General features: G+C 41.8%; 1 protein-coding gene across 7 annotated transcripts in view; it reads right to left on the bottom strand.

Moving 5' to 3' along the window:
* ZBTB40 (zinc finger and BTB domain containing 40) overlaps positions 1-26,926 on the bottom strand; it is a 102,246-nt gene that overhangs the window by 17,565 nt on the left and 57,755 nt on the right. For 4 of the 7 annotated variants that reach the window (XR_946804.2, XM_011542499.3, NM_001083621.2 and 1 more), the window contains 11 exons: positions 22,945-23,710; positions 22,057-22,190; positions 11,906-12,098; positions 11,149-11,291; positions 7,349-7,541; positions 5,453-5,589; positions 4,859-5,060; positions 4,357-4,490; positions 2,243-2,411; positions 1,456-1,914; positions 460-666 (listed from right to left, as the gene is read on the bottom strand). Coding sequence is in view for 6 of the 7 variants with exons in the window: in XM_011542499.3 (XP_011540801.1) it covers positions 460-666; positions 1,456-1,914; positions 2,243-2,411; positions 4,357-4,490; positions 4,859-5,060; positions 5,453-5,589; positions 7,349-7,541; positions 11,149-11,291; positions 11,906-12,098; positions 22,057-22,190; positions 22,945-23,641 (2,668 nt within the window). In the remaining variant the exon portion in view is untranslated. Of the gene's footprint in view, positions 1-459; positions 667-1,455; positions 1,915-2,242; positions 2,412-3,363; positions 3,989-4,356; positions 4,491-4,858; positions 5,061-5,452; positions 5,590-7,348; positions 7,542-9,245; positions 11,128-11,148; positions 11,292-11,905; positions 12,099-22,056; positions 22,191-22,944; positions 23,711-26,926 lie in introns of those variants that run through there. The other 3 variants (NM_001330398.2, XM_047436105.1, XM_011542500.3) reach the window with 3 other exon arrangements.

Here is a 26,926-nt window from a genome sequence, read left to right as displayed (position 1 = left end):
AGCTGAGACTCCAGGTGCCCGCCACCACGCCTGGCTAATTTTTTGTATTTTTTAGTACAGATGGGGTTTCACCATGTTAGCCAGGATGGTCTCAATCTCCTGACCTTGTGATCCGCCTGCCTCAGCCTTATTTTTTTTTTGATACTTAACTTTTGTGGGTACACAGTAGGTGTATATATTCACAAGGTACATGTGATGTTGTGCTGCAGGCATGCAATATGAAATAACTGCATCAGGGAGAATGAGAGATCCATCCCCTCCAGCATTTATCCTCTGTGTAATAAATAATCCAAATTACACTGTATTTAAAATGTACAATTAAGTTATTATTGACTTTAGTCACCCTGTTGTGCTATCAAATTGTTTTGTTTTTGAGATATATATCACACCTAATCCAAATGGGGTTTAGGCAGTTCGCAGTGAAAGTCTGCAGGAGAAATGAACTGTGCCCCGCCTTACCTTCTGAGTGCTTCTTCTTGGTGTGATAGGCCAGGGCGGAGGCCTGGGTGAAGGTCATGAGGCAGTGCTTGCACATGAACGGGCGGTCCCCGGTGTGAAGGCGAAGGTGGTTCTTCAGGGTGGAATTGGCTGCAAACTTCGCCCCACACTCTTCACAGGAGAAAGGCTTCTCATCGAAGTGCTCTGTCAGCTTATGGTACTGCATGCCTAGGGAAGCCAAGCACACCAGAGGCCAGAAGAGATGCTACTAATCAGTGTTAGGAATCTAGCACAGGATACCAAGAGCACTGTCTCAGCCCAGGCCTCCAGAGGAAGCACAGCATGAAGCCCAGGGTGCCAGGCCACGCTGGTACCCACTGCACACAGCCACGCTGCTCTCTACCCACCAACTGGCATCCCCAAAGTCACCTGGCCTTACTCCTGGATGGAGCCGGTGGAAAGTAATGCTGGGCTTATCTTCCCCATTCCCTTCTCTCTCTTAAATAGGACCCTGCCACCCAGAACTAGGGAAACTCAACTTGCTTTTATATTTCATTAGGTTTATCCAAATTCTAGGACAAGGGAAACCATTCTGACTGTACATCCCATGATTTCCATGACTCTTGTTTGTTACCAAGAAACAAGTGGCACATGGAAACATGAGCCAGGTATTAAGTAGCTGGTTATCACTGTAAACAGTAAGAGCTGTAAGTTATTGTGTGCTCACTCTGTTACAGGCAGTGCACTGGTGTTTAGCTCTGTTACCTTAAGTCTTCATAACAATGCAACAGAGTAAGTGGTATCAGGGTGCTGCTTTAATAGATTTGGGGAAATCAAAGCTCGGGGGCTGATTCCAAAGCCCATGCTCTTAAAATATTACCCTGCCTCTGTAGGAACCTGCTCTATTTTCTAAGCCCACCCACAGCCCTCACTGCACACAACTAAGGGAAAGGCCTGAAATCCAAGCTATAAAACCCACAATTATCATCCTCTGTTCCTTTGCCTTCTTGAACGTACCTGAGGCATGGGCAAATTCTCTGCCACAGAGGTCACATGTCACTGGAAGCCTCTTCTTCTTCTTCTTGGGGGCATCGGGCTCTCCACCTGCACCATGGGCCTCCAGCTGATGTTTGTCCAGCTCTTTCTTTGAATCCTTGGTCTCACTGCACTCCTTACACTGCACCTGTTTGCTCTTAGCCACCCGGCAGCGCTTCATGTGCACCTTTAGGCGGCAGTAGAAATGGAAGCTTTTGTCGCAGGCCTTACAGATGAAGCTCTTCTTGGCAGGGTCTGGGGAGGCTGAAGCCTCTTTCTCTTGCTGTCCTGGCAAGGAACCAGTCTCTCCTTGATCATTCTGTTCCCCAGGCTGGCTGTCTTCTTTGGCTGCCTTTTCATCTTCTTTGTTGTTGGCTTCAAGGTGAAATTTATTACTCACCTTCCACGTTTCCTTCTCTCCATCTTCCTTAGTAAGGACACCTGCATAAAAGAGACATCTCGTGGCTCTGCGAACTCTCTGTTTCTATTTTGCTTTATAACGTTTCTAACACACTTCTTACAGGAGACTAGAGACTACTTGAGATCCTCAAAAACACTCTGAAGTAATATCATTGTCCTCCTTACTTTCCAATAAACACAAAGAACATTTTCCCCCTATGTCTCATGACTTTTTTAGGTATTCAGAGCATATAAAATGAATACGTAACTTAAGGTTGTGATAAACTATGATATGAAATGCTGTCTCTTTCTTCAAGAAACAACCTGGTGTGCTGATAGGAACCCCCTTCCCACCTGGCCCGTTCCTTACCAATGTATGCCAACTCCTGCATGACAGGCTGCAGGCCTGGAAAAGATTTGTGGACACTGCACAGGAGGTGGCATATTTCAATGGCCGGGACTGATTTTTCCATGGCTCTGCTCAGCACTGCTCTCAGGGAAGCTTCAGGGCTGGCTGTCTCAGAGGGAATGCTCAGAATCTAAATGAATACCAGGAGACAAAGGTGTGGGGTTAATCTCAGCAGATTTTCCCCATGGTTTTCAACCTAAAAAAAAAAAAAAAAAGCTAATCCCAGGAAGGCACTGCTCCATTTATAAGCAGTTTATACATCGCCTTGTGATAAATGTAGTGGACAGCTCTGTTTGCCAAAGAACAGGAAAACTAACAAAACAGAAAAAAAGAAGCATGTATCCAGATAAATGTGCAAATACAAAGAAGATACATGCAGGGAAGCATAAAGCATTTTCTATAAGAAATAGCTTATCAGAAACTAGGAGTCTCCCAAAGACCTTTTCTGGATCTTAATACTAAAAGCTTGAAAAGCTATAGGATTTGGTCGTCGGTGTGTCTGTCTTGAAAATCAGAATAAGTTTTCATAATATATAATTGTCTCAATGTCTGGAAGTAATTCTGCATGATCAGTGGCTTCATATTTTTAGATACTTAGATGTACCCATTTAAACGTCATTTTCTTTCACAAAGAAACTCAGCGTTTTAAAGAAGGTTCAAATAGAAGCTTTAAAGAGTCCAAGAATATTATTTCAAAGCCGTCGTCCTCTTTCAGAATGTTAGAGCTATCAGCAGAAAGAGTCGGTACACTGAGAAAATAAAGCTAAACCATCCACAGATGGCCAAACGGAATTTTCATTTTGGAAGATATTTTATTTCTGCTCTTTTCAAGTCTATCTAAATAAACCTGATGTCCCTGGAGGCAGGCATGAGACTAATTAGTGAGGCTAAAACTGATCAACTGCAGAAGCCCCATCTCTGAAGTTACGGCGTGCTGGAGAGAGTCTAACAGATGAGTCTTTCCTCTGAAGCCCCACAGAAATGTGTGCCATCTTCTTCCCATCTGAGTCAGACCAACATGTGGCTGTCACCTGCACAGAGAGAGTTAGAAACCCGCCCTTCTGCACACCTTCCACACCTACCTGAATCAAAAGGGCACTACATTTGAATCTGTAGTTTAATTTCATGTTCCTTTCTTGTTCTTCCCCACTCAGGATGCAAATGATCCTGGGCTGGACACCCATGAGTTCCCCCAGTCCCCACTTGGTATTCCTGGGATGCTGGCCACATTGTGTGAAGGCTTACAGAAAATGAGCTGGCACTATTTGCTACCCAATATGGGCAAAAGCTTTGTTTTATCTATGTTTATCTTGGCTCTTTCTAGAAGCCAGAATAGAACATGTAATAAGACCAGTTTTACTTTCCTTCATCTGAGAGAAGCTGCTTCTTAGAACAGGTAAGAGAACAGTATCATGGCTCCAGGGGATACCAGGTTTAGATAAATGGAATAAATTGGTTTGAGTCATAGGAAGCTGGGTTCAAATCCTGACATCATCTCCTCCCTGCCAGAGCATTTTAGACAGGTAACTTAACCCTTTGGGGCCTGAGAACCCTTGTCTATAAAATGTGATAACATCACCTGCCATGTAGAGCTGGAAGGATTAAAAGAGCAAACGTGTTAGGAAGCATTAGCCTAGCAAGGGGTACAGATATTGGTTCTGGCCAGGCACAGTGGCTCACGCCTGTAATCCCAGCACTCTGGCAAAGCTGAGATGGGTGAATCACTTGAGGCCAGGAGTTCGAGACCAGCCTGGCCAACATGGCGAAACCCCGTCTCCACTAAAAATACAAAAAATTAGCAGGGCACGGTGGTGCGCACCTGTAATCCCAGTTACTTGGGAGGCTGAGGCAGGAGAATCGCTTGAACCCGGAAGGCAGAGGTTGCCATGAGCCAAGATCGTGCCACTGCACTGCAGCCTGGGCGACAGAGCAAGACTCTGTCTCAAAAGAGAAAAAGGAAAAAAAAAGAAGGAAAAACAACCCAACCAACTATTGGTTCCTCTCTTAGGAATGAAGACAGTCCCAGGCAACAACTGTAAAACTCTCTGGCATTTCGCTTTTTATTCCCACCACACCTCTTTCACAGTCTCTGCCAGGTGCTCCTCCTCCGAGGTAAAGAGCTTGTACTCAATCTTCTGTTGGATGGCCTCCAAGATCAACTGGTTATGCCTCAGGATTGTTTCTAAAGTGGCATGTTCTGGGGTGGTCACTGAAAAAAAGGGGGATCAAAAACTCATTAGGCAAACAATGAGCACCATTTTTTCCTACACCCTTCCTCCACTCAACTCTTCATAATGAAAATGCATTTCCCCTATCTCCTATCTGAGGTTGGCAGTGGGGAAAACGGCAAATAGCACTGTAATCAGAGTATAATAATGAATGTAAGCTTAAGATAATTACTGGATCTATTTTTTAAAAGGTTTACAAACTCTTGTGTCCTTGAACAAAACTGCCAGTCCTTACTTCTAATAGTAGGGATGTAGGTGACTACCGTTAAGAGAGCTCTTCCTATTTTCTAGGAAGACTGACAGTCATCTCTAGTGGGGGCAAAACCCCCCCAGAGGGCAGGTAACTTACCTGCCCGGAAGAAAGCATCGGCACCAGGCTCCCTTCGTATTTCCTCCATGAGCAGGTCCAATGGACAGGTCTTTGTCTCCTGAACCACCAGCAGCAGTTGCCAAATGGCTGTGGCAGAGAGAGTCTGCTTTTCTAGAACTGCTGATATCAGAGAATTGAAACCACCTGAACCAGAGTCACGTTTCACAAGCTTCTCCATGACCTTCAAGATGTAACACAAACACTCACGTAAGAGACTCTCCAGCCACTAGCCCAGCTGCAGAGCTGCAAGTCTAGATATTGGGTTACAGTGAATATGTTTGGGGAAGGAGTTTTTCAACATCCTCACCTCTCAGTCTGAGAGATTTCTTATACATGACAAAGTTCTTCATTTCTCCTTTTGAATGCCTTTCCTTATTACCACAGAAATTAGAACTATTCTATTTGTTATTCCACCTTAGAAACTGAGATACCTTCTATTTCTCCTCTACTTAGCAATTCTCAACATGGCTACATATGTATATTTACAGAAAATATAAATGTGTGTGTGTATTCATATTTTTTCCTTCTTTCTCATTTTACCCTCCCCTCCCTCTGTTTCTCTCCCTCTCTTACCTCTCTTTCTCCAGGGGCTAAACTTGTCATGTGTGAGATCATCTTTAATAAAATCTGGTTGTCTGTGAAAATCTCAGAGAGGTTTTCATGATAGCGTCTCAATAGCTCAGTCCCATAATCATCAGGGCTTGGTTGGACTGTAAGGATATTAGCAAAACAATAATGTTTGATGCAACAAAACCTCCTACAGAAGACTCCAGGATATTACCAATGAGAGAGGAAGAGAGCAATCAGCACAAGGGCTCAGTGTCCTCTGCAGAGCCCTGGCTTGGGGCCTCATACACATATGTTCAGAGCTCCTCTGCCTACACTTAATCGCTTGGCGCTTCAGGGTCATAAAGCCGTTAACGCTTTGAAAGTCAGTGCCTGGTGGTAGGAGCTAGCAATTGCTCACCAGGGGGGTAATTAGAAGGCTGTACTTGTAAGAGACTCAGATGTGCAGGTTCAAGGGGGGGTGTTTGTCAAGCCTGAGGTAGAGGATCCGTGTGGCGATCCTAAAGACGAGCACGAATCAAGGCTGTGCGTGTGAAGCTGACCCGTGGTTTTTCTATTTAGGTGCCCTTTGGGCCAATTTGTTAGGTTCTCTCTTTTAAGAGGTCATATTTACTTGGAAGTTAAGAAAAATTGAAACTATCAGGCATTTCTCTTAGCTTTGCAGATAATTAAAAATGTACCCTTTTCTTTAGCTCAGTAACTCCACTTCTGGAAATCCAACCTTAAGAAATTATCTGAAGGTCTTTGTCTATGTACAAAGACAACTATCAAAGCATAATCTTTGCCGATGATGACAGTGAAGACAGCAACTAATATTTACTGAATGCCCATGTGCCGGGCACAGTGCTAAATGTTTTACATGTATTATACTAGCCACACAAAAACGAATGTGATAGGTACCACCCTTACCTCATTTCACAGAGCAAATGAGGTTCAGAAAGATTAAGTCACTTGCTCAGGGTATTACAGCTACAGAATGGTGCAGTGAGGGTGCGGCCCCAGGTAGTCTTGACACCAATGCCTACAGTCCTAACCATTATGCTACATCCGCTCTGAAATAAGGGCATGAATAATACACCATATACATCCTTATGATGGAAAACTACACAGCCTTCAAAAACTAGGATTGTGGGGAGTTTTTCTGAACTGTGGAGAAGGCTGCTGCAATGTTACATGGGGAAACCATAAAATTATACAATATGAAAGTATCTCAATATTATAAAAGTGATAGATAAAACATGTCAAGGTGTTAATATTGGCATGCTTGAGTGGTAGGATTTTAAATGGTTTTCTTCCTTATATTTGGAATTGTCCAAGCTTGTGTAAGTACATACTACTTTTATAGGCTAGGAACAAATATCCTTTTTCTGAAAACCATCTGAGTCCTAAATGCTCTGGGACAGGGAAGAGTTGGCTTGAGCTGGATTGTCTTTCTAAGAAATAGGATATGGACTCATTTCCCCAAGCTGAACGGACACCAGAATAATGAGTTCTGGGGACTGCTGGAAGCAAACAGCACTCTAGTGGAAATGGGGCAATGGAGATTTGAGGCTTTGCTGCTCCTATTTGCGAATATGGCTGACACAGTGCTAAGCCTTATGAGCACATTTGCTCCTCTGGCTTTCACAGGTGATCCTGGACAGCCCTGGGAAAGCCACACGTTAATAAATCCTGAGCCACAGGAACACCATGAGGGAGCTTAACCGAGAAGAGTCACTCTCAGATTTCAGACCTTAACTCCAGAGAGATCGAGAATTATCGATTTATGACGGCTAGTTTCTATTCTGCAATGACATTTCTTAACATAATCTTATCTCCCCAGCATGGAGCCAAAAGGGTGTTTCAAGCTACAATTTTCTGGAAGAGTGGTTCCAGTCCAGAGAGTCAACAATTTACTAATACCTGTGGTGCTTGGCAAAGTGGCTGATTTCTGCAACTTCTCTAGCAGAAGGCCCAGGTTTGGGAAAGTCGTCTTCACAGCCTGGAGGAGTTTTACCAAACCCTCAGCAGTCAGCGTCTTCTCTTCAGTCATTCTGTGCAACAAATTTTCTATTGTCTCCTTGGGTGTTCTGCCCTCACAGCAATTCAGAATCACCTGCAGTGGCAAGCAATCAACCAGACACCAGTTACTGGCAATTCAACATTTATCTGACACACTACTGGAAAACCTAGCAAGATAGCATCACAAGATGCCTGATCTCCAAGTCCTCTTCTGTTGGTCTCTAGCATTACTTTTTTTCATAGTTTCTTCCTTATTCTGTTTCAATAAAAATCTTAAATATTTTCCAAACAAATAACTGTGAAAATCTTTCTTTCTCAATTGCAGGTCTGTGTATCTGCTCTGCCTCCAACAGCTTGCATTTTGTGAAAACATTCCTAAACTAGGCCTATATGATACAGCAAGTAGCCTACCTCTAACCTGGTTCTTTAGATGTGGCTTGTCTGGACGCTAAGATTGAGAAACACAGATTGATAATTAATATAGTTTAATTTTTTTGGTCTTTTTTCAGTAAAGTTCATAATATTAGCATAGGTTATAATTCCATTGTTTTACTTTACTTGCATAGTAATCTGAATACTCAGATAATTTGTATAATTAGTCTGTGGACTCCAAAATATTAGATTTAAAGTGCCTTTCTGGATTATTTTTCTTGTGGATTCCTTATTATCCATTCCTCTGATTCTCAACAGCCACATACATCAGCTCCAGTCATAATTCAGCAATTCCACTCCTTTGTCCTTCCTTGGTGTGCTAGAGGATTTTGAGTCAAAAGGGCACAGAACTCTAGCAAAAGGATGAAACTAAAACATGTGACAGATATTTTACAGATATTTTAATATTACAATAGAACTATTTCTTAATGGACTACAGCATAATATGCATAGCTTAGCTCTTATGGAACTGATAAAGCAGGGGATTATTTCAATACATGTAATCTACAGATTCACAGGAACTGAATTTTGAGCTTTCCTTTGGGAAAATGCCAGCTCCTAGTCATGGTAGTATGCCAGAGGCTGCCATTATCAAATTAACTTCCATTTTAAAATAATGATTTTAGCTTTAAAACCAAATTGGTTTTATATATATGAAAGGAATATATACATAATAAATCAAGCTGTCATATTCTTTGTCAGTACAGAACATAGTCATTCTCTTTAAGGTCTAATATATAGATTTCTACTAAATAAATCATAATTTAAAAATTAAGAGCTTGTATCTAAACACCATACTGATTTCAGAGCTAAATCTTGGTTCCTAAGCAATAATCTGATATACAAAGAGGCAGCCAGATACTGGTAAGAGTAAGCATAGGCTTTAAAGCCAGACAGACCTAGTTCAAATTGCAGTTCTAATATTTATTGCCTGTGTGACCTTGGGCAAGTTATTTAATTCTTCAAGCCTTATTTTCCTCACTTGCAAAAGAAGATAATACCAACTCTTGCACAGTTGTTACTGTAAAATGAAGGTGCTGTTCATAGGGCCTTGCCTAACTCCTAGGACACATGTGATCTTTAAGAAATGACTATGTTATTGATATGATTAGGGAGAAGTACTCATAGGGGTTAAGAGAATGTGCTTGGATTAGAAGTCTAATTCTTATTACCAGCCCCAAACAGCTGTGTCTTTGGGTGAGCTGCTTCACCTCCCTATGCTCTGTTTCTTCATCTTTAAAATAAGAGTAATATCCATGATGTCATAAAGTTGCTATGAGGGCAAAACTTAATAATGTTTAAAAAGTCCTCAGCACACTGCCTGGCACACAGTAAGCAATAAATAAATGACAGCTATAGTAATTACCTTTTTTTTCTGTTTCCAGTCCTCATGTAAATATGTTCCTGGTTACTGCTTCTTACAAAACCCAACATATTTATAAAGGCCATGGCATCCATTATTAGCATAGTTTCTAACCAGAAAAAAAGTTTGAAAAGGCCTGGGTACACATTCCACACGATGTCAAAATACTGTGGCTATTCAATCAACATTCACCTCTCCACTCCCACTTTCTTAGTCTGCTTCAACTTTCATGAGAAGGAATCACTTAAAGAAGCTCTGGTGGAACCCCAATCTTAAGAAGTGTTTTTGTGATTTATAACTAATTTAAGCTCTTCTGCTTCAGCTTTCTCTGTCAAGTAAACTGAAAGTGACAGAAGAAAATGACAGTGTGGTCTATCTTGCTGCAGAGAATGAAGCTGAGTTTGGACTCTATCTATAAATGCTGTTTTACCAAGATAATGAAACAGTTCAAAGGACACATTCAATCTAGCTAAAAAGAAAAAGGTCTGAATGAGTAATCGAATGAAATCACTAAAGAGGGAATCAGGAACTTTTAGAGCTATAAGCAACTTACTTAAATTGAGTGCCTGAAATTACACTTAATTTGAAGACTAAGGAGAAAAAAAACAGAAGTTTAATCTTTGTATATTTTCTTTCTCTAAGAAGTTCAAAGGACTTAAAAATTTAAAAACAATTAAATCACAAAATGTAATTCTGAGATTAAAGGTTGTTTCCATTGTGTGTGTGTGTGTGTGTGCGTGCGCACATGTGCAACATAAGATCACTGAGAAAAATAAAATCGAGGATCTAGTCCTCACTGTAAATTCAGGGCTTAGCCATTATATCAGTGGCTTCTAAACGTTTTCTCTCCTGAACACTTAAGTCGCTTCCCACGGTTTTAGGAATTGATGCCACAAAAGTACTCTATCCCTATTCCTTCCTTCCAGATATAAAAGTATTTTTAGCACAAAGTTGAAATCAATAACACCAACAAACATAGTTATCTAGTTGCCTTGAGAAGTCATGCCAGCAGTTTTATGAGGATTTTAGCAGCTAGCTGGTGGGAGAGTAAATTGGTACAACCTTCCTGAAGGGCAATTTGGCAATATATATCAAACGCTTGAAAATTTTTATACTCTTGATTCCAAAATTCCACTTCTTAGAAATTATAGTAAGGGAATAATTTCAGAGGTATGGAAAGATTTATGTGCAAGAATGTTCTTCACAACATCACTTTTAATAGCAAAAAAAAAAAGGATACTAATGCTCAATGATAAAGAAACGAAATCCATATTATAGGTATAGACATGTATTAAGATATTAGGTAAAAAGTCAAGTTAGAAAACCATATGTTCTATATAACCTCATCCTGGGATGACTCAAATGAGAAAGAGGGGAACACATGCTTCAGCCTGTTAGCAGTGTCATCTCTGAGTGGAGAAATCTGAATTTTTTCTTTTTGATTGCTTTCCCCATTTTCTACATATTCCAAATGTACAGTACATTTCTATAAAGAGGAAAGGTGTCATAATAATTACAAAATTTCCTTAACATTTTAATTCTGGATACAGTTGTTTACAGTAAAAACTGAGTCAGAGCAGGAATAGCATATATCCATCTGTCCATCGGTCCATCCGTCCGTCCGTCCATCCATCCATCTGTCCAACTGTCCACCCATCCATCCATCCACCCACCCACACATCCATCCATCCATCCATCCATTTTCCTTATGGCTCCATGTGCAAGGCCCTCAGCAAGCTACCGCGAGGAATGCAACAGGATATGAAACAAGCACCTTGACTTCGAGATGCTTACTATGCAGTATGTATTAAAATACTGCAAAGTATAAAGTGCTATGTGCCACAAAAGCATTTTTTTAAGTGCTATATGAATTCAGGAGGAGGGAGGAGACACTTGACACAGTTACCCTTTTTTCAGTGCCAGTCAGGAATTCCTCCTTGGCTGTTTCCAGGGACTCCATAATAGGTCTCAGCTGTGTTACACACTGTATCAGGTCCTCTTTGTGTTCTAGTAACAGAACAGACAAGGTCTTTCCCTCCTCTGTGCTCCCTGGGGGAGAAAGAGTTAGAGACACACAAGAGAAGCTAGTCAATTTGAAGAAAATGACAGCATGGTTTGTCAAGAGAGATCTAACAGAATAGTAAAGTGATTTTCAGCTTATTCTGAGCACCTGAATGCAGAATCGCTTTTACAGAGGAAAATACTTTATTATTCTGTTTAAACTCTATGAAAGGAAAAATGTTTCATTTATCTGTCGAAACACAAAGCTGCAGAGCCAGCCAGAGGTTAACTTCTGGTTGGCAAGGCCACTGCTTTGTACCTAACCCAAATGAGAGAAACTTCAGCCTTAAAGTGCTGTCAGCGAACCAGTCCAACCTGGGTACTCAAGTCATTGATTTGGATGTGTGGCTTTTTGACGGGCAGGAGAACATTGATGATATTCTCCAACTTCAAGGTGTCAGACTAGTTAACTGTGGGATAGAAATGGAGACTCAAATTTAGTTGGTGTATATTTAACATGCAGCTTCTGGAATTTACATGTGAAACTTATGTGAAAACCACTTAATAACTAAGCCACCAAAGAAACATGTCATTGGAACAAACTTCATAGCATCATCCCAAAATAAAACCCTGCCATTCCAATGCATAGGATCTTCTCCTACCTTTTGGCTGCACTGTGTCTACATCTTCTGGCTTCCTGTCTAATAGTGCTGTTTTTACTGCAGGATTAGAATATTGGTACAGCCTCAACAGGGACACAACAGTTTGAACATCCAGGCTTTCCTCTCTTACTTTACCCAGGATTCTCTGGAATGCTGAATGTCCTCCTTCACCCTCGAAACATTTCACTATCATCTATGGAACAAAAGTACCCAGAAAGATAGATTAGCGAACCACAAGAACCATCCGCTCCTTGCATTTGGCAAACAAGGTCCTCAACAGTTTGATTCCCGCCAGCTTCTCCTGAAGCTCCTCACCCACTGCACTTTCTTCCCCAGCAGCAGTTCCAACAAGCCCTGCGGTCCCATGCTCCTGCCCCTGTCTTCTGGAGGACTCCAATTCCACGACTCCATGCTCTAACCTTGCTCAGGGGTTACCTCTGCTGGGAGGCCTTTCCTGGCCACAGGCCCTACCTCCTCTTCACTGCTTTTAATTTGACATTTGTCACACTATATTATAATTTTTTTTTTCTCCTACTAGACTTCTTGAAGACAGGAATTATGCTTTCTAGGGCTCTGTATCCGCAGCAAATAGCATAGCCTGGCACACAGTAGGGGCTCAGTGAATTTTTAATAAACTTAATGCACTTCTTACCTAATTATACCTTTCTGAATCTGGCATTTTAAGTATTTCATGGGCAGGGATGTCTGAATTTAAATTTAATGAACTGTCATTTTATTATTTGAGAATGCAATTAAAATCTCACAATTTAGGAAAAAAGAATACCTTAAATCATTTACATTATAAATGACAGACTACTTAAAAAGACACGGGCCTTATTAATTTTAGATATAGTCTGTAACAATTAAGGCTAACAGTGTGTTGGCTTGTAGTTGCCAGCTGTAAGAACATATGACTCACATGTTAATTACCCCGTGTGAATGACTGCTTTCAGCCTGAAGGGGCTTCACAGATTCTTCCCCTAACCAACGTTTATACAACAAGCCTTGCCTCTGGCTTTGTGCCACTTGACCTTTCGGTGGCACTTGGCAGTGCCTCTGTATCACAATTCTCTTCCGATTTCAGCAGCACTGAAGTATGTGGGATAAGAACTTGCCTTCCTGACCACTCCTTTTCAGCCTTTCCCACTGGTTCTTCTTCCAAATCCATAACCATTAACAGCACCTACGACTGGTCTCAATCTTTTATTTTTTTCTCCTTTTATATGCTCCCTTTTGAAAAGCTCTCACATGTATAGCTTTAACTATCACCTTTATGCAAACTTCTCTGAAAAGCAGCTCTAACCCTGCACTATTTCAATCCAGAGCTGCCACACAGATTCTGCTGGACACACCTTGTCCTCCAGAGGTCTCAGGGGCGCATATAAAACCAAACTCATCATCTTGACTCTTCTAGATGCTTCTAAGACATCAACAACCCCAGTGGTAAAATAAACAAAATTAGCATTCCTTTCTTTGGTTTGACAGAACATCTCTCACGCAAATGCGAGGAAGGTCAATTGGAAGGTAAGGTTCACATTTCTGCTTTAGCAATAATGAATTTACTTGAAAAAATCTGGTAACCAAAACTGAATTTCACGTGTACAGTCATATGTATAGGCTTTATGTTTCTACTTGACAAAACTACAATCTACCTTTGATGTTTTTTAGTGTCAAGATTATAAAATAGAAAAATTTTCTCACCAGAGTCTTTAGAGAGCAAAAGGTTAGTTTTCTACACACACACGTCTCCCCACCACACTAAAGGAGCTCATGAATACTGTATCAACACAGCAAAATTTAGCTAGACAGCTGTTATTACAAATTCTGGTAGTAAGTATATGTTTAAGATTTTTATTTAGAGAGATTTTATCTTTCTCCTCTCCTCCCAAATAGAAATTATAAACGAGTTAGACCTTGTGTTTCTTGGCTTTGCTTTAGCTTGCTTCCTAAGCACAGGATGTCTGTATAAAGCTAAATTAAACTTTAAAAGTTTCCTGTGTTTTTCAGTCATCTCCAAAAGTACACATAGACAAAACACAGTTTAATAATCCACATCAACATATCACTAGCGTAAGAAACTTCTGAGAACCTAAGGTAACTCATCTTGTATTTAAAAAATAATAAACAAAAAATGAAGACGTCAGTTGAAAGCTAAATTAAATCAACTTTTCATGCTTTTGTTAGTTGACTTGAAATCTCTTTAAAATGCCTTTTCACTGACAGCAGTAGGGAACCCAAGGCAGGCAGCATCTAAAATGGACCCTAATACCTGACTCTGGGTATTCATGCTGTTGGATTGAACCTCGTGACTTGCTTCTAAGAAGCAGAATATGGTAAAAGTTACAGGATGCTACTTTTGAGGTCAGGCTAGTTTGACTTCCATCTTGCCTGTGTTTTCTCTCTCTGCCCTTGCTCTGTGAGATGCAAGCTGCCATGTTGTGAGCTGCCCTACGGAGACACCCATGTGGCAAAGAACTGGTCTCCAGCCAACAGTCAGGGAGTAAGCTTGGAAGTGGATCTTCTGAAGCCTGCCAATAGCCATGAGAGTGGGCTTAGAAAAAGATACTCCCCCAGTTGAGCCTTGAGATGTAGCCCTGGCTGACACCTTGACTGCAGCCTGTAAGTGGCTGAGCCAGAGAATTCAGTTGAGCTCTACCTGGATTCCTGACCCACAGGAACTGTGGGAATAAATGTTTGTTGCTTGAAGTTGCTAGATTTTAGAGCAATTTGTGATACAGCACTGGATAACTAATACAGAGCCACTTGCTGCTAATACCCTCAGTAAACATGTTTCTTCCTTTTTATTTTCCCTTTCCTTCCTGCCTGCCTTTTGTGCATCTCAATTGATACAGCATATAGCTATCTCATTCTAGCCTAGGCCAGGCTTTTTTTTTTTTCCACCTGAAACTCTCCGAATATCCCAAATCCACATCTCTCAGTATCCAATTTGTCTGGCATTATCATTTGAGCCAGTGGGGAAGGGAAGCTTTCGTCAATGGTGGCATCTGATATGCTTCTCATTATCCTCTCTGCTGTCTCCCTCTCTGCAGAACTACTCAGCAGTGAAATTAAAACATTTGTTCACTTTGTTGCTCAACAGTGATGCTAGGGTGGCCATCTGGGAAGAGAAGCAGGGGTGGGCTGATGAAAGGGCCAGGAGAGGGCAGTTAGCTGCATGGACAGCCCTGCTCTCTCTGCTCTTTCTTTCAGAACCTACTGGGGACCTACACCAGTGCCAACACTACAGCAGTTACTCCATCAGCCCCCTAAAGCTGCCTAGGGCTCCGCAGTGGAAAAAGCAAGCAGGCCCTTTTCTGCAACAGTTTCTCTGCCTAAACAGAAGGGTATTAGGATATTAGGATAGGCAGGGATTCATCAATTACTATCATGTAACAGAACTCCAAAAGCTGAACCAAAACAGAGTTCTGTTGAAAGGGCTAAGTTCTTTAACCATACATTTGGAACTAACTCTTAATTCTCAGGGGTAAAGGTACTTCAATAAATTCATGTTAATAAGGTCACAGAAGTAATCTAAATACTTTACCTATGAGTGAAATATAGGTAAATATATTTCAAGATGAGACCATTTCTTTTCCCTCTATAAGTGAAAAACCATTTAATCTTTCCCTTAACTCAAGCCTTTTAACTGAGTTGACTTATTTACCCCAATTGTTCGTGTACTGCCTTCAGATCTGTTTGAGTTACACTATATTCTTGTTCACTCAGGCCTCCCTTGACTGCTGAGGGCTGGGTGATGGCAATAATGATAGAGACTACAATCGCTCCACATCATCCTGGACACCGTGCCATCTACCTTCTTCCTCACACCAGGCCTGGGAGGCGTTACTACTACTACTTTAGATGAACTTCAAAGAGGTTAAGTAACTTGCTTAAGGTCACAGGTCTAGTAAGTGGAGTAGCTGGCACCCCTTTCACCTAGTTCTACCTCCCAGATTTAAGCATAATCAAATCTATTTACACTGGGTTCTATTAGACTTACCAGAATCAATACCGGTTTGAATACTGGGTAGTATGTAGACAATCTGTATCACTTTTCTTGGTCTCAATGAATATAAAGACTGGTACATAGTAGGTGCTCAATAAATGTTTAATTGAATAAAATTCCCTTGCCATAAAACCATTAGCCCTTCTATCTATGGCTGCATATCTTAGGCTTAATCATTAACAGAAAGGAGATTTGGAAAAACAACTTATTTTCACCTTTCATAGACCTGTAAAACGAATCTCATTAACTCACTCTCAAGAGGGCTACCCAACCCTGTCAGTGAACAGAGCCCTCCAAACACAGATCTGCATTTGACAAACCTCCAAAGCAGCGACACGGCTGAAAACATCAGATTCACATAGGAGAAGAGATGTGTTTGCCTTTGAAATAAAGTTGAAGGAGAAAAAAATGCTACTAGGTCTTCAGCTTTGGGAGTCTTCTAGATTTTTAGGTGAAGAGTGGACCAAAAAGCACAGAAATCAATAGTAGAAAAATTATCTCCTTATTCTAGTTAAAGATCCACTTTGCTGTATACACAATTAATTAAAAGCAGAGACATGGCTAGGAATAAAGAAGGAAGACAATTTCAGCCTTCATCTTTCTCCCATGCTGGATGCTTCCTGCCCTCGAACATCAGGCTCCAAGTTCTTCAGCATTTGCATTCTTGGACTTACACCGGTGGTTTGCCAAGGGCTCTCCGGCCTTTGGCAAAAGACTGAAGGCTGCACTGCCGGTTTCCCTACTTTTGAGGTTTTGGGACTTGGACTGATCCACCACTGGCTTCCTTGCTCCTCAAGGTACAGACGGCCTATCGTGGGACTTTACCTTGTGACTGTGTGCCACCTACCATGGCTTTGGCCACTTTCTGTTGGATTGCACCTGAAGTTAGAGCAGCTGCTGCCATTTCTGTCACCATGAGGGCAAGCCTTTCTGAAAGTGGAAGCCACAGAGAGGAAGCATTGCTGAGAGACAGGGAGAAAGAACCCAGGTCCTGATGATGGTGTTGCCATACCTGCAGCCAGTCATGGCCAGAGCTATCTCTCCTTCTACACTATGAAGTCACAGGAGCCAACAAGTTAACTTTTTGCATAAGCCAGTTTGGACCAGTAGATTGCACACAGAAGGCGCTCAAAGGAATCCCAGAAGCCCAGCGCTGGAAAGGGCCCCACAATTCAGCTGGTCTGGTGTTCCTTGCGGTACGTGAATGGGTTTACAGCGTCCCCCTACAACTGTCTCTGATATTCCCATGCCTACCCTAACTTAGTTGTTTTATATCAATGTGGTGCCTCCCAGGCAACGTAGTGTCCTGGATGAGAACGGGATCTCTGATGCCTCCATGCTTCTGAGCACTACCTGGTCTGCAGGGACCATGGGTGGTGTCTGAATCCCCAGTGAAATTCCCTGAGCCTCACAGTCCCAGTGGGGCTTGTCTGTCACTGAGTTGCAAGCCACGCTCAATCCCTGGGGATGCTGAGTGCTGTTAATGGACACGTGATGCCAGCTAAATAAAAACAATTTTCAACCTCCAGAAAGTATCCCAGCCACTCACAAAATCATCCACTGTGTCTCATTGTATGCAGGTCTTGTTAGCTCCATGCTGTTCTCGATCTATAGCATCTCTGCTGCCTGCACGTCAGGAGGCAGACACATGTCAGAAAATACAGATGAGAGAACTGGAAAATGCCAGTGCCAGCGTCCTGTCCAACCCCTACCTTGCCTTTATTTGTTTGTTTTTACCCACATGAAAACTGGCACAAAGAGGCAAAACAACTTGCCTAAAGCCACAGAGCAAGTAAGTGGCAGTGTTGAAACTTGTTAGTGCTAATGTCCAGAAGAGTTAAATGATTCCTAAAACGTAAAAAAGGCTGGGTGCGGTGGCTCATGCCTGTAATCCCAGCACTTTGGGAGGCCAAGGCGGGTGGATGGATCACCTGAGGTCAGGAGTTCGAGACCAGCCTGAACAATATGGTGAAACCCCGTCTCTACTAAAAATACAAAAATTAGCCAGGCATGGGTGTGCGTGCCTGTAGTCCCAGCTACTCAGGAGGCTTAGGCAGGAGAACTGCTTGAACCCAGGAGGTGGAGGTTGCAGTGAACTGAGATTGCACCACTGCACTCCAGCCTGGGCAACAGAGCAAGATTCCGTCTCAAAAAAACAAAACAAAACAAAACAAAACAAAAAAAACCTAGCACAAAAACTGAAAAAAAGTATGAGTCTGGCTCTAAATAACAGTTTTACTCAGCTTAGCCAGAGGTCAGAAGTGACCTCTTAGGTCACTACTTGCTTTTCTAATGCGTAAGGGATATTACACTGATATAAAGACAGGCAGAAGACATGTTCCCATCCCAGCACCCAAGAGATTTCTCTTTAATAAGTTTTGGCTTTGATTTCTCACAATTCAAGTAGCCCAGCTTCTTCTCATGTTGCTGCAATCGCTGTTCAGGGAATGGCTTTGCCACCTTTCATCACTGATCTCAGGAAATAAAATAATCAGGACACTAGTTCATGGTGTCCTCCCTAAACTCAATCCTGCCCAGGTGCACACCTCACAGCTGTGTTTCAGAAACGGAATGACACATCCAGGAGTAGACTATTTTTAACGTTAAGCTGTTCTCAAGTTAAGATTAACTAAACAACAACCAATCACAGGATACCACTCAAAGCTCTTGGGGAGCTAAAAATGTATAAACAGAAAAACAAAATACCCCAAACTGTAAAATTGTACGGAAATGTGAAACAACGTTGTTCTAAGTGAACAGCTCTTAAATGCGCTCATTGCTGAAGCCTTATGGTGAAATCTGTAATTTGGCGACTCCTCTGCATACTTCCCCCAAAATAATCACACACGTGGCAGGATTTCTCTGCTGTCAAGATACTCTTTAAGGACAGGGATCAAGTCTTATTGAAGTTTCTCTGCCTAGCAAGCGGCTCAGTCTGGCACATATCAGTTGCTCAGTAAACATCTGCTAAATCAAAGGGTAAGCAAATGAGGAAAATGGGTATTCGGTGGCCTCTCATGCCACTGAAAGGTGCCAGCACAGACATTATGACATCTGCCATCACACACTAAGAGTTTTGTAAGCCATTCACTTCTCCAACTATGCTTCTCAAAATGTAGTCTACAGGTTCCAAAACAGCAACCCATGGGGGAGCCTGTTAAATATGTAGATTCTCAAGTTCTAACACAGCCTAAGAATCAGACACCATGGAAATGAGTTCTGGAGGTATACATTTTAACAAGCACCTCAGATGATTTTTCTATACATTGCTAGAGACTGATTGCTACGTACTAGACACTACCCCTGCAGTACAGGAAGCTACTTCCTCTAGACACTGTTCTAGAAAGTGATTGCTTCAGACTAGACACTGCCCTTGCAGTTTAGGAAGCTACTTCCAAGTGGATGGTGGTACCTATCTGAAAGCATGCCTTACAAATTAAGCTTAAAGTAACAGCAAACCATCTCGTGTCAGAGTAAATGGCCATGGCACCAGGATATTATAAGACATTCAGTGAAAAGGGGGTTTCAAGGTCTGTTAGGTCTAAAAATACTGAGTTAATGTAAAAACAAACAATAGCAGTTGTTACCTACTGACCTCCTACTGAGTGCCTGGCATTTTACTATGAGTTTTATATAAATAATCTTAATTCACAATGACCCCATGATGTAGGTGATAGTATCCCCTTTTTACAAACGAGGACACTGAGGCTTATAAAGATGAAGCTGCCTAAAGTCACAATGCTAGTAAATAGTAGAGGTGGATAAATGAATTGTATATCCACACAATGCATACAACTCAGCAATAAGAAGGAATGAACACACAACACTAGGGGCGTACCTCTGTAGAATTCACAGAAAAAGAAAAAAGGAAAAAAAAAAAAAAACATGGGTGAATCTCAAGATACTTACGCTCAATGAAAGCCAGACAAAAAATACACACCATATGACTCCATTTATACAATACTCTAGAAAATACAAACTTACGTACAGTGACCGAAAGCAGACCAGTGGTTACCCAGGGCATGGGTAAGTGGAAGGGGCAGGAGAGAGGGGTAGTACACAGGGACAAGAAGAAACTTTTGGGGGTGATGGAGATGTTTACCATCTTAACTGTGGTGATGGTTTCAGGGCATATACCAAAACTAATCACACTGTACACCATACCTAGCTACAGGTTACTGCATGTCAGTCATAGCTCAACAAGGCTGTCTGAAACAAAGTATGAGAGAGAGACAGAGAGAGAGAGAAGTAGAGGCCGAAGTACAAAGCAGCATCTCCCTAACTCTCTATTTAATCTTATATTCTTAAAGTATCTGTTCCCTTTTTCTTTCTGAAGTTCAAAGGTTATGGACTGTAACAGAATTGGCTTTAAAAACAGCCACCAAGTGATTTGCAGAGCTCCTACTCTGACCTCTAAAACTGAGGAAGAAATAACATAAGCCTATAATGATCACCAACAGCAAATCAGTGTTCTTTTGAAGTATATTAATGATATTGCCATCAAAAGATTAGAACAAGAAATGGAAAAAAAGAAATGTTGAACGAATGCATGTATAACAGACATTTCTTCATCACCTGTTACATGCCACATACTTTTAGGTACCAATGTTAAAAAAAATGCATAAGACACAGTTCAACTAAGTATAAAGGTGACACTAATAACTTGAGTATTGCTGATCTAAGGAATAACGTTACTCCTCTGTAGCCAAAGTTAAGTGGAGAGGAAGCTTTAAGAGAAAATGAAGAGGTGTGTTTAGAAGCTATCAAGGTAACAAACTAATGACAAAAATGATGGATTGAACAGTTAAGAGAACACGCAAGTGCAAAAATATAAAACCATAATGTCCTTCAGCATAATCAGTACAAAGAGTACCAAGGATTTATGACTTGAAACCTCCCAAAGAGAGTCATCAGGGTTAGCCTAGCCTTGTAAATAGCTTGTCTCCCAAGAAAACAATGTATAGTCGACTGTCAGTTAACACAGCTAAAATAAATACTAGACCTTGAATTTGTTTTTTAAAAAAGTTGCTATGAATCAGGAAAACATTTAATTATTAGAAGGCATGTATTACTTGGACTAATACAAAATTGCCTATAGCAACATGGGAGGATCGGCCCACACTACCCCCTACCAATCAGAGGAGCAAGCCTGCCGGGGCAGCGCCCTCTCACTCTGCCAGCAGCCTCTCAGAAAGGGGAAGCAGGGCTGGGAGAAAAGGGAAATAAATGGAATTCTAAATTGGTTGTGGAGTCGAATCCTGCAGGGTCAGGTGTGAAGAATCAAGTATTGAGAGATCACACAGGTGGAAATGCGTCTCAACTGAGTTACTTAAAAAAAGAGGTCAGCTAAGAAAGCATGATAGCCATTTGGCAGTTTCCTGTCAGGCGATTCCTAAGCACTTATATATATATGCATCACTTTTACCCTGTTGGGAGGCAGTATAAACTCAGTGTGTAAGGGAGCAGCTCTAAAGTTAGAATGCTGAGGTTTCAATTCTGGCTCAGGGTCATATGAGCTCTGTGACCTTCGCCAAATTACACCACCTCTTTGAGACAGTTTTCTCATGCATAAAACAGGACTTAACAATAATACTCACACTGATGATTTTTGTGAAAATTAAATGCGGTAACACATATGCCAAGCTTAATACAGGAAGTGTTCGTTGAATGTTTACTATTACTGTTTTTATGTCTGAAAATGGCCACTGTTATTCCTAAATATTAGATGCATTTTACCAATAATTTATAAGTTTATATAAAGTCCTTTTTGTTCATGTTTTGAGTATCTGTTGTTTTGTTTTAATTTTAATGGTTTAAGTCTCAGGTTTGAGGTTATACATGGCTACCTTCTTAATCTTATCTGTGATTAATCAGGAGTAAATGGTATGATCAGTTAAGTATTCTGGATCAAAACTGGTTAGAAGCTAGGATTCTCCTGGTGATCAAGATGTAATGTCATTTTGAAAGTATCCTGCCTAAGTACTTTTGCAAGACTGCCCTTTAGGGAATAAATGTCCAAAAAAAAAAAAAAATTAAAGTTTCAAAACATTGAAACCCTGGGCTATTTCTGCCCCATATAAAAAGTTAGTAAGGTATCCTGAGAACACTAAACTAGCAAACAAGTACAAAAGTCAGAGGTGCCTACCTCCTTCTGTGGACCTTTAATTTCTGAACACATTTCTAGTTTTTTTAAAACATCCTGGGTAACCATGAGTGCATCTGAGAAGACACCTTCATTTTCTAGAAGAAAATTCAGCTGGTAGTGTTTCCTTTCACATCCTAAATGTAGAACAAAATAAAACAAATCAGAAATTCATTACTTGAAATAAATTTTTACAAGTTTAAGCTGTCTGAGCACCTTCAGGTCATATACTGCACTTAACTGATCTCTGTCTAGCACATCAGTTATGAATAACAGACAACAGTATCTCTCACAGCTTCCTCCTTTGTGCTGTCCTCAGCCTGGTTAAAATAGCAGATAATCAGCAGGGCACGGTGGCTCACGCCTGTAATCCCAGCACTTTGGGAGGCTGAGGCGGGTGGATCATGAGGTCAGGAATTCGAGACCAGCCTGGCCAACATGGTGAAATCCCATCTCCACTAAAAATACAAAAAATTAGCTGGGCGTGGTGGCACATGCCTGTAATCCCAGCTACTCAGGAGGCTGAGGCAGGAGAATTGCTTGAACCCAGGAGGCGGAGGTTGCAGTGAGCTGAGATCATGCCATTGCACTTCAGCCTGGGCAACAGAACAAGACTCCGTCTCGAGAGAAAACAAAACAAAACAAAACGAAACAGATAATTATCGAAATGGTACGTCATTATTCCAATACTGCTTTTCTGCTCTGTAGTTCATGTTTGGACTTTCAATGTTCAAAAACACAGACACTTTTAAAAGAATGGCCCAGTACGGTACTGCACTGAATTTTGGTTTTCTACCTAACAGTGGTCTTTGATAAATTTATTAATCAAACATTAAAACTGATAAAGATCATTGAAAACAGAAGGATGGAATATAAAACAATGACTGTTACCTGGTTCTGTGCTTGTCTTCTTTGCCTCACTAAAGGTTTGCACAGCAGGGGAGGGGGAACAAGCTTCAGCTGTAGTAGGAGTCTCCGCTGGGGTTTCTGCATTCCTCTGGCTCTCCTGGGCTGTGGGAGAATTCACACTCATCTCTTGTGAAACTGAATGGGCTGCTTCCTCAGTCTCAGCTTTCACAGGGCCCCCTGGAGTGGCAGCAAGCTCTGGGGAAGAATGAGGCTCTCCAGCACCTTCAGATGAAAGGATTTCTACTTGAGGCTTCTCTGGTTCCTTTCTGAATGTCTCTGAGGATGGCGCAGAGACATCCCTTACCACCTGACCCTGAACCGAGCAGTTTACAAGGCTGGTCAGAAGATTTTTGCAGCTAACAGCTACATCAAACATCTGTAGACTGTCTGCTAAGGAGATGATTTTGGAGAAGTTGTGCTTGCCCACAGGTAGTTTGCCCGTGTACATCATTTCCAACAAGAGCGCAAACTCCTCGGGGCTCACCACAGATGCATCGATGGAGATGGTATCTGTGTTATCCAGCAGGGTTTTGAACAGGAGGCTGGCAGCAGCCAGGACAAGCTTGTGAGCCCTGAAGTAAATGGTACCAATGGAGATGGTGCAATCACAGAACTGCTGCTCCTTGCACAGAGTGTACAGCTGCTGCAGCAGCTGCCGGCTGTAGTTGGGGAGCTCCATTGCGTCAACTCTGCCCCAAGAACTGCTCTTCCTCTCCTCTCCTTAGAGTTGGCTTTGGGAGGACAGGCCCTAGAGAAACCCACAAAATACCAGGTTAAAACTTCAAAAAACCATAGGGAAAGGCCTTGAATGAAACGCTAAATGAACAGAAAGGCATTTCACTCATTCATCCAACAAATATTGCTTAATAGGAAGGGACAGTATGCCAGGTATACTAAATCAGTAATGATCATTATCATTATGTGTTTAAATATATGAAAGAGACTGTGCATAATGCTTTGTATGGACGGTCTCATTTGATTCTCACAACGATTCAGTGGAAAAGATATTATTTCCTCCCCATTTTACAGATGAGATTGGAGCTTTGAAGGACCAAGAGAATCACCCTAAGGAAAAACAGCCATCTCACTGACTTCGAAGCTCTAACTACACTACCATTCCTGCTCCCAAAAAGCTCTCAGCCACCTAGAGGAGATAAATATGTAGACGGAGACTTACAATACAATGTCCTTGGCTTATTCAGTCTAGCCCTAACAAGGGACGGAGGTCATCATTCTCTTCCTCTGAAAATACATTTTTCACTTGGTTCTCCTTCTCACTCACTAGCCATGCCTTCCCAGTCTCCTTGGTTGAGTCCTCTGCATCAGCGCAGCCTTTAAAGCTTGGAGTGCTCGAGGACCCAGTCATCCCGCCTCTTACCTTCCCTCTCTTCTGATTCCATAGCTTTGAAATATCATCTAAATGCTGACAGCTTTCAGATTTATGTCTCTGGCTCAGCCTGTTCCTCTGAACTCCTGATGTAGACCTCCAACTACCTATTCAACATCTCCAACTGGAACCTGGTTTCTGAAACGTAACATATCCAAAACTCTCCTGCCACTTTCCCACCTCACAGCAATTCTGTCCTTCTAGTTCTTCAGACTAAAACCAAGTCATCCTTGACTTTTGCTTTTTCTCATACGCTATATCCAATCCTTTATAAATCCTGTTGGCTCTACCTTCAAAACATATCCAAAATCCAACCGCTAATTTCCTTCACTGGCTCCTCTCTAGTCAGTCCAAACTGCCATCATCTCTTACCTAGATTACTGCAGCAACCTCCTAATTAGCCTCCATGCCTCCATCCTCCCCTACTGCTACCCCTACCTCATCCTATCTTCAACCCAGTAGGCGGAGCAATCTACTTAACACACAGCCAGATCTTGCTGCTGCTTTGCACAAAAAGCCTTAAATGGCTTCCAGTCTTAGAGTAAAAGTCAAAGTTCTTACAATGGCCTAGCAAGCCTTTAATCATGATCTGGCTGTCATCGGCTCCTAACCTCATCTTTTACCACTCACTCTCCCCCTCACCCATTCTGCTCTGAGAACTCTGCCTTCCTTGCTGACCTGGGAATATACTAAGCATGCTCTGCGTTCTCTGACTCAGGGCTGAGCATGCTTAGTATATCTGTGCCTGGCTGGCTGGCTCATTTCTACCAGCCCTTTGCTCAGAGGCCATGTTAGCAGTAAGGCCTTTCCTGACCATGTTTTTTCAACAAGCAACCTCCCCTCCAACCTCAGAACATCCCGCTCCTTCGTCTGCTTTGTTTTTCAGCATAGCACTTATCGCCTACTGACATACTATATTTTTATTTGTTATTATCTATCTTCCTTCACTAGAATGTAAGCTCCATTAGGGTAAGAACTTAATTTTATCACCTGCTGTATCCCAGTGCTTAAAATTCTGCTTAACACAAATACTGTTGATTACTTGGTAGAATGAATAAATAACTAAAAGGCAACATAATGATGGATTTGTACACACAAACACAGTTTGGGGGATAGGAGAGTCCAGGAGTTAGAGTAAAGCTTTGAGGGAAAAACAGCTGACCTGTGTCTTAAAAGATACGGACGCACAGATGAGGTAAAAAGAATGGGAGGAAAAGGCAATCCTGGCAGGGACGCCTGCATGAGGCATGCAGATAAGAAAACATCCCGTGGTAGCAGGCAGGAGGATTAGGAACTGAGATTATTACTGGAACATAAAGCAGGGAATAGGAGTGTTAAGAGATGAATCTGGAGAGGCAGGCAGGGGTGTTGGCCACAGAGGGATATATAGGCCATGCTTACGAGCTTGGAGGTTATCCTAAAAGCAATGAGCAGCCATTGAGGCATTTGAAAGGCTTTAAGCAGCAAAGTCATGTGGTCAGATATGCATTTTAAATATACCACCTAAGTAACATGTGTACAGAATTTGAGGGGGATAATGCTGGAGACGGGCTCTATTATTGCAGGAGATCAGGAGAAAATCAATGAGGGCTTCAAGCAGGAGAACTGGTAATAGGAGAGAGCCAAAAAAACATTGCAAAGTATAGCTGTCATGACTTAGGGACTGAATGGATGTGAAGGACAGAGAGAAACAATTCCCAGGTTCCTGGCTTGGTGAATGGGTGGATGATAAGATGATCCAGATAATACAAGAACAGACAGTTTAGGGGAAGAGACATCTAGTTCAGTTTTGGGTTTGAGGATCTTATCTTTGAGGATGTTTGAGGAAATTATGTAATCTCACTTGTAAAAGAAAAAAGTACGCTAAGAAAAGGGCGGAAAGACATATGTCAAAAAACCAGTAATTGCTTTTGTTAGAGGATTATGGATGATTCTCTTTCCACTCCACCATTTCTACATTTACTGACACTGAAATTGACAGATAAAAATATAAATAAAAATATTTCAGAGTTCCAGTTTCCATTCTGGTATGTCAGGAGCTTAGAAGTCACCACGTCCTAAAAGCAAACAGACTGAACAAACTGAAAAATCAACAACTCTTCTTTAATTCGTCAGAAAAGAAAGGTCACAGGGCAAATCACTGTTCCTAAAATTAGAGACAGACAGGCAGACACAGAGAATCACAACTTATTGAACAAAAAACACAAGCCAGGCGCAGCAGCTCACGCTTGTAATCCCAGCACTTTGGGAGGCTGAGGCGGGCGGATCACTTGAGGTCAGGAGTTCGAGACCAGCCTGGTCAACATGGCAAAACCTCGTCTCTACTAAAATTACACAAATTAGTCAGGCATGGTGGCGGGCACCTGGAACCCCAGCTATTCAGAGGCTGAGGCAGGAGAATAACTTGAACCTAGGAGGCAGAGGCTGCAGTGAGCCCAGATCATGCCACTGTACTCCAGCCTGGGCAACAGAGGGAGACTCCGTCTCAAAAAACAAAACAAAACAAAACAAAACAAAACAAAAAAAATGTATGAACAAACGCCTCTGTAGGAACAAGTGCCAGGTTAAGAAAACCTG

The sequence above is a fragment of the Homo sapiens genome, chromosome 1 (genome assembly GCF_000001405.40).
Source record: "Homo sapiens chromosome 1, GRCh38.p14 Primary Assembly".
In the NCBI taxonomy this organism is placed as follows: Eukaryota; Metazoa; Chordata; class Mammalia; order Primates; family Hominidae; genus Homo; species Homo sapiens.
This window is presented reverse-complemented; position numbering and strand designations above follow the sequence as displayed.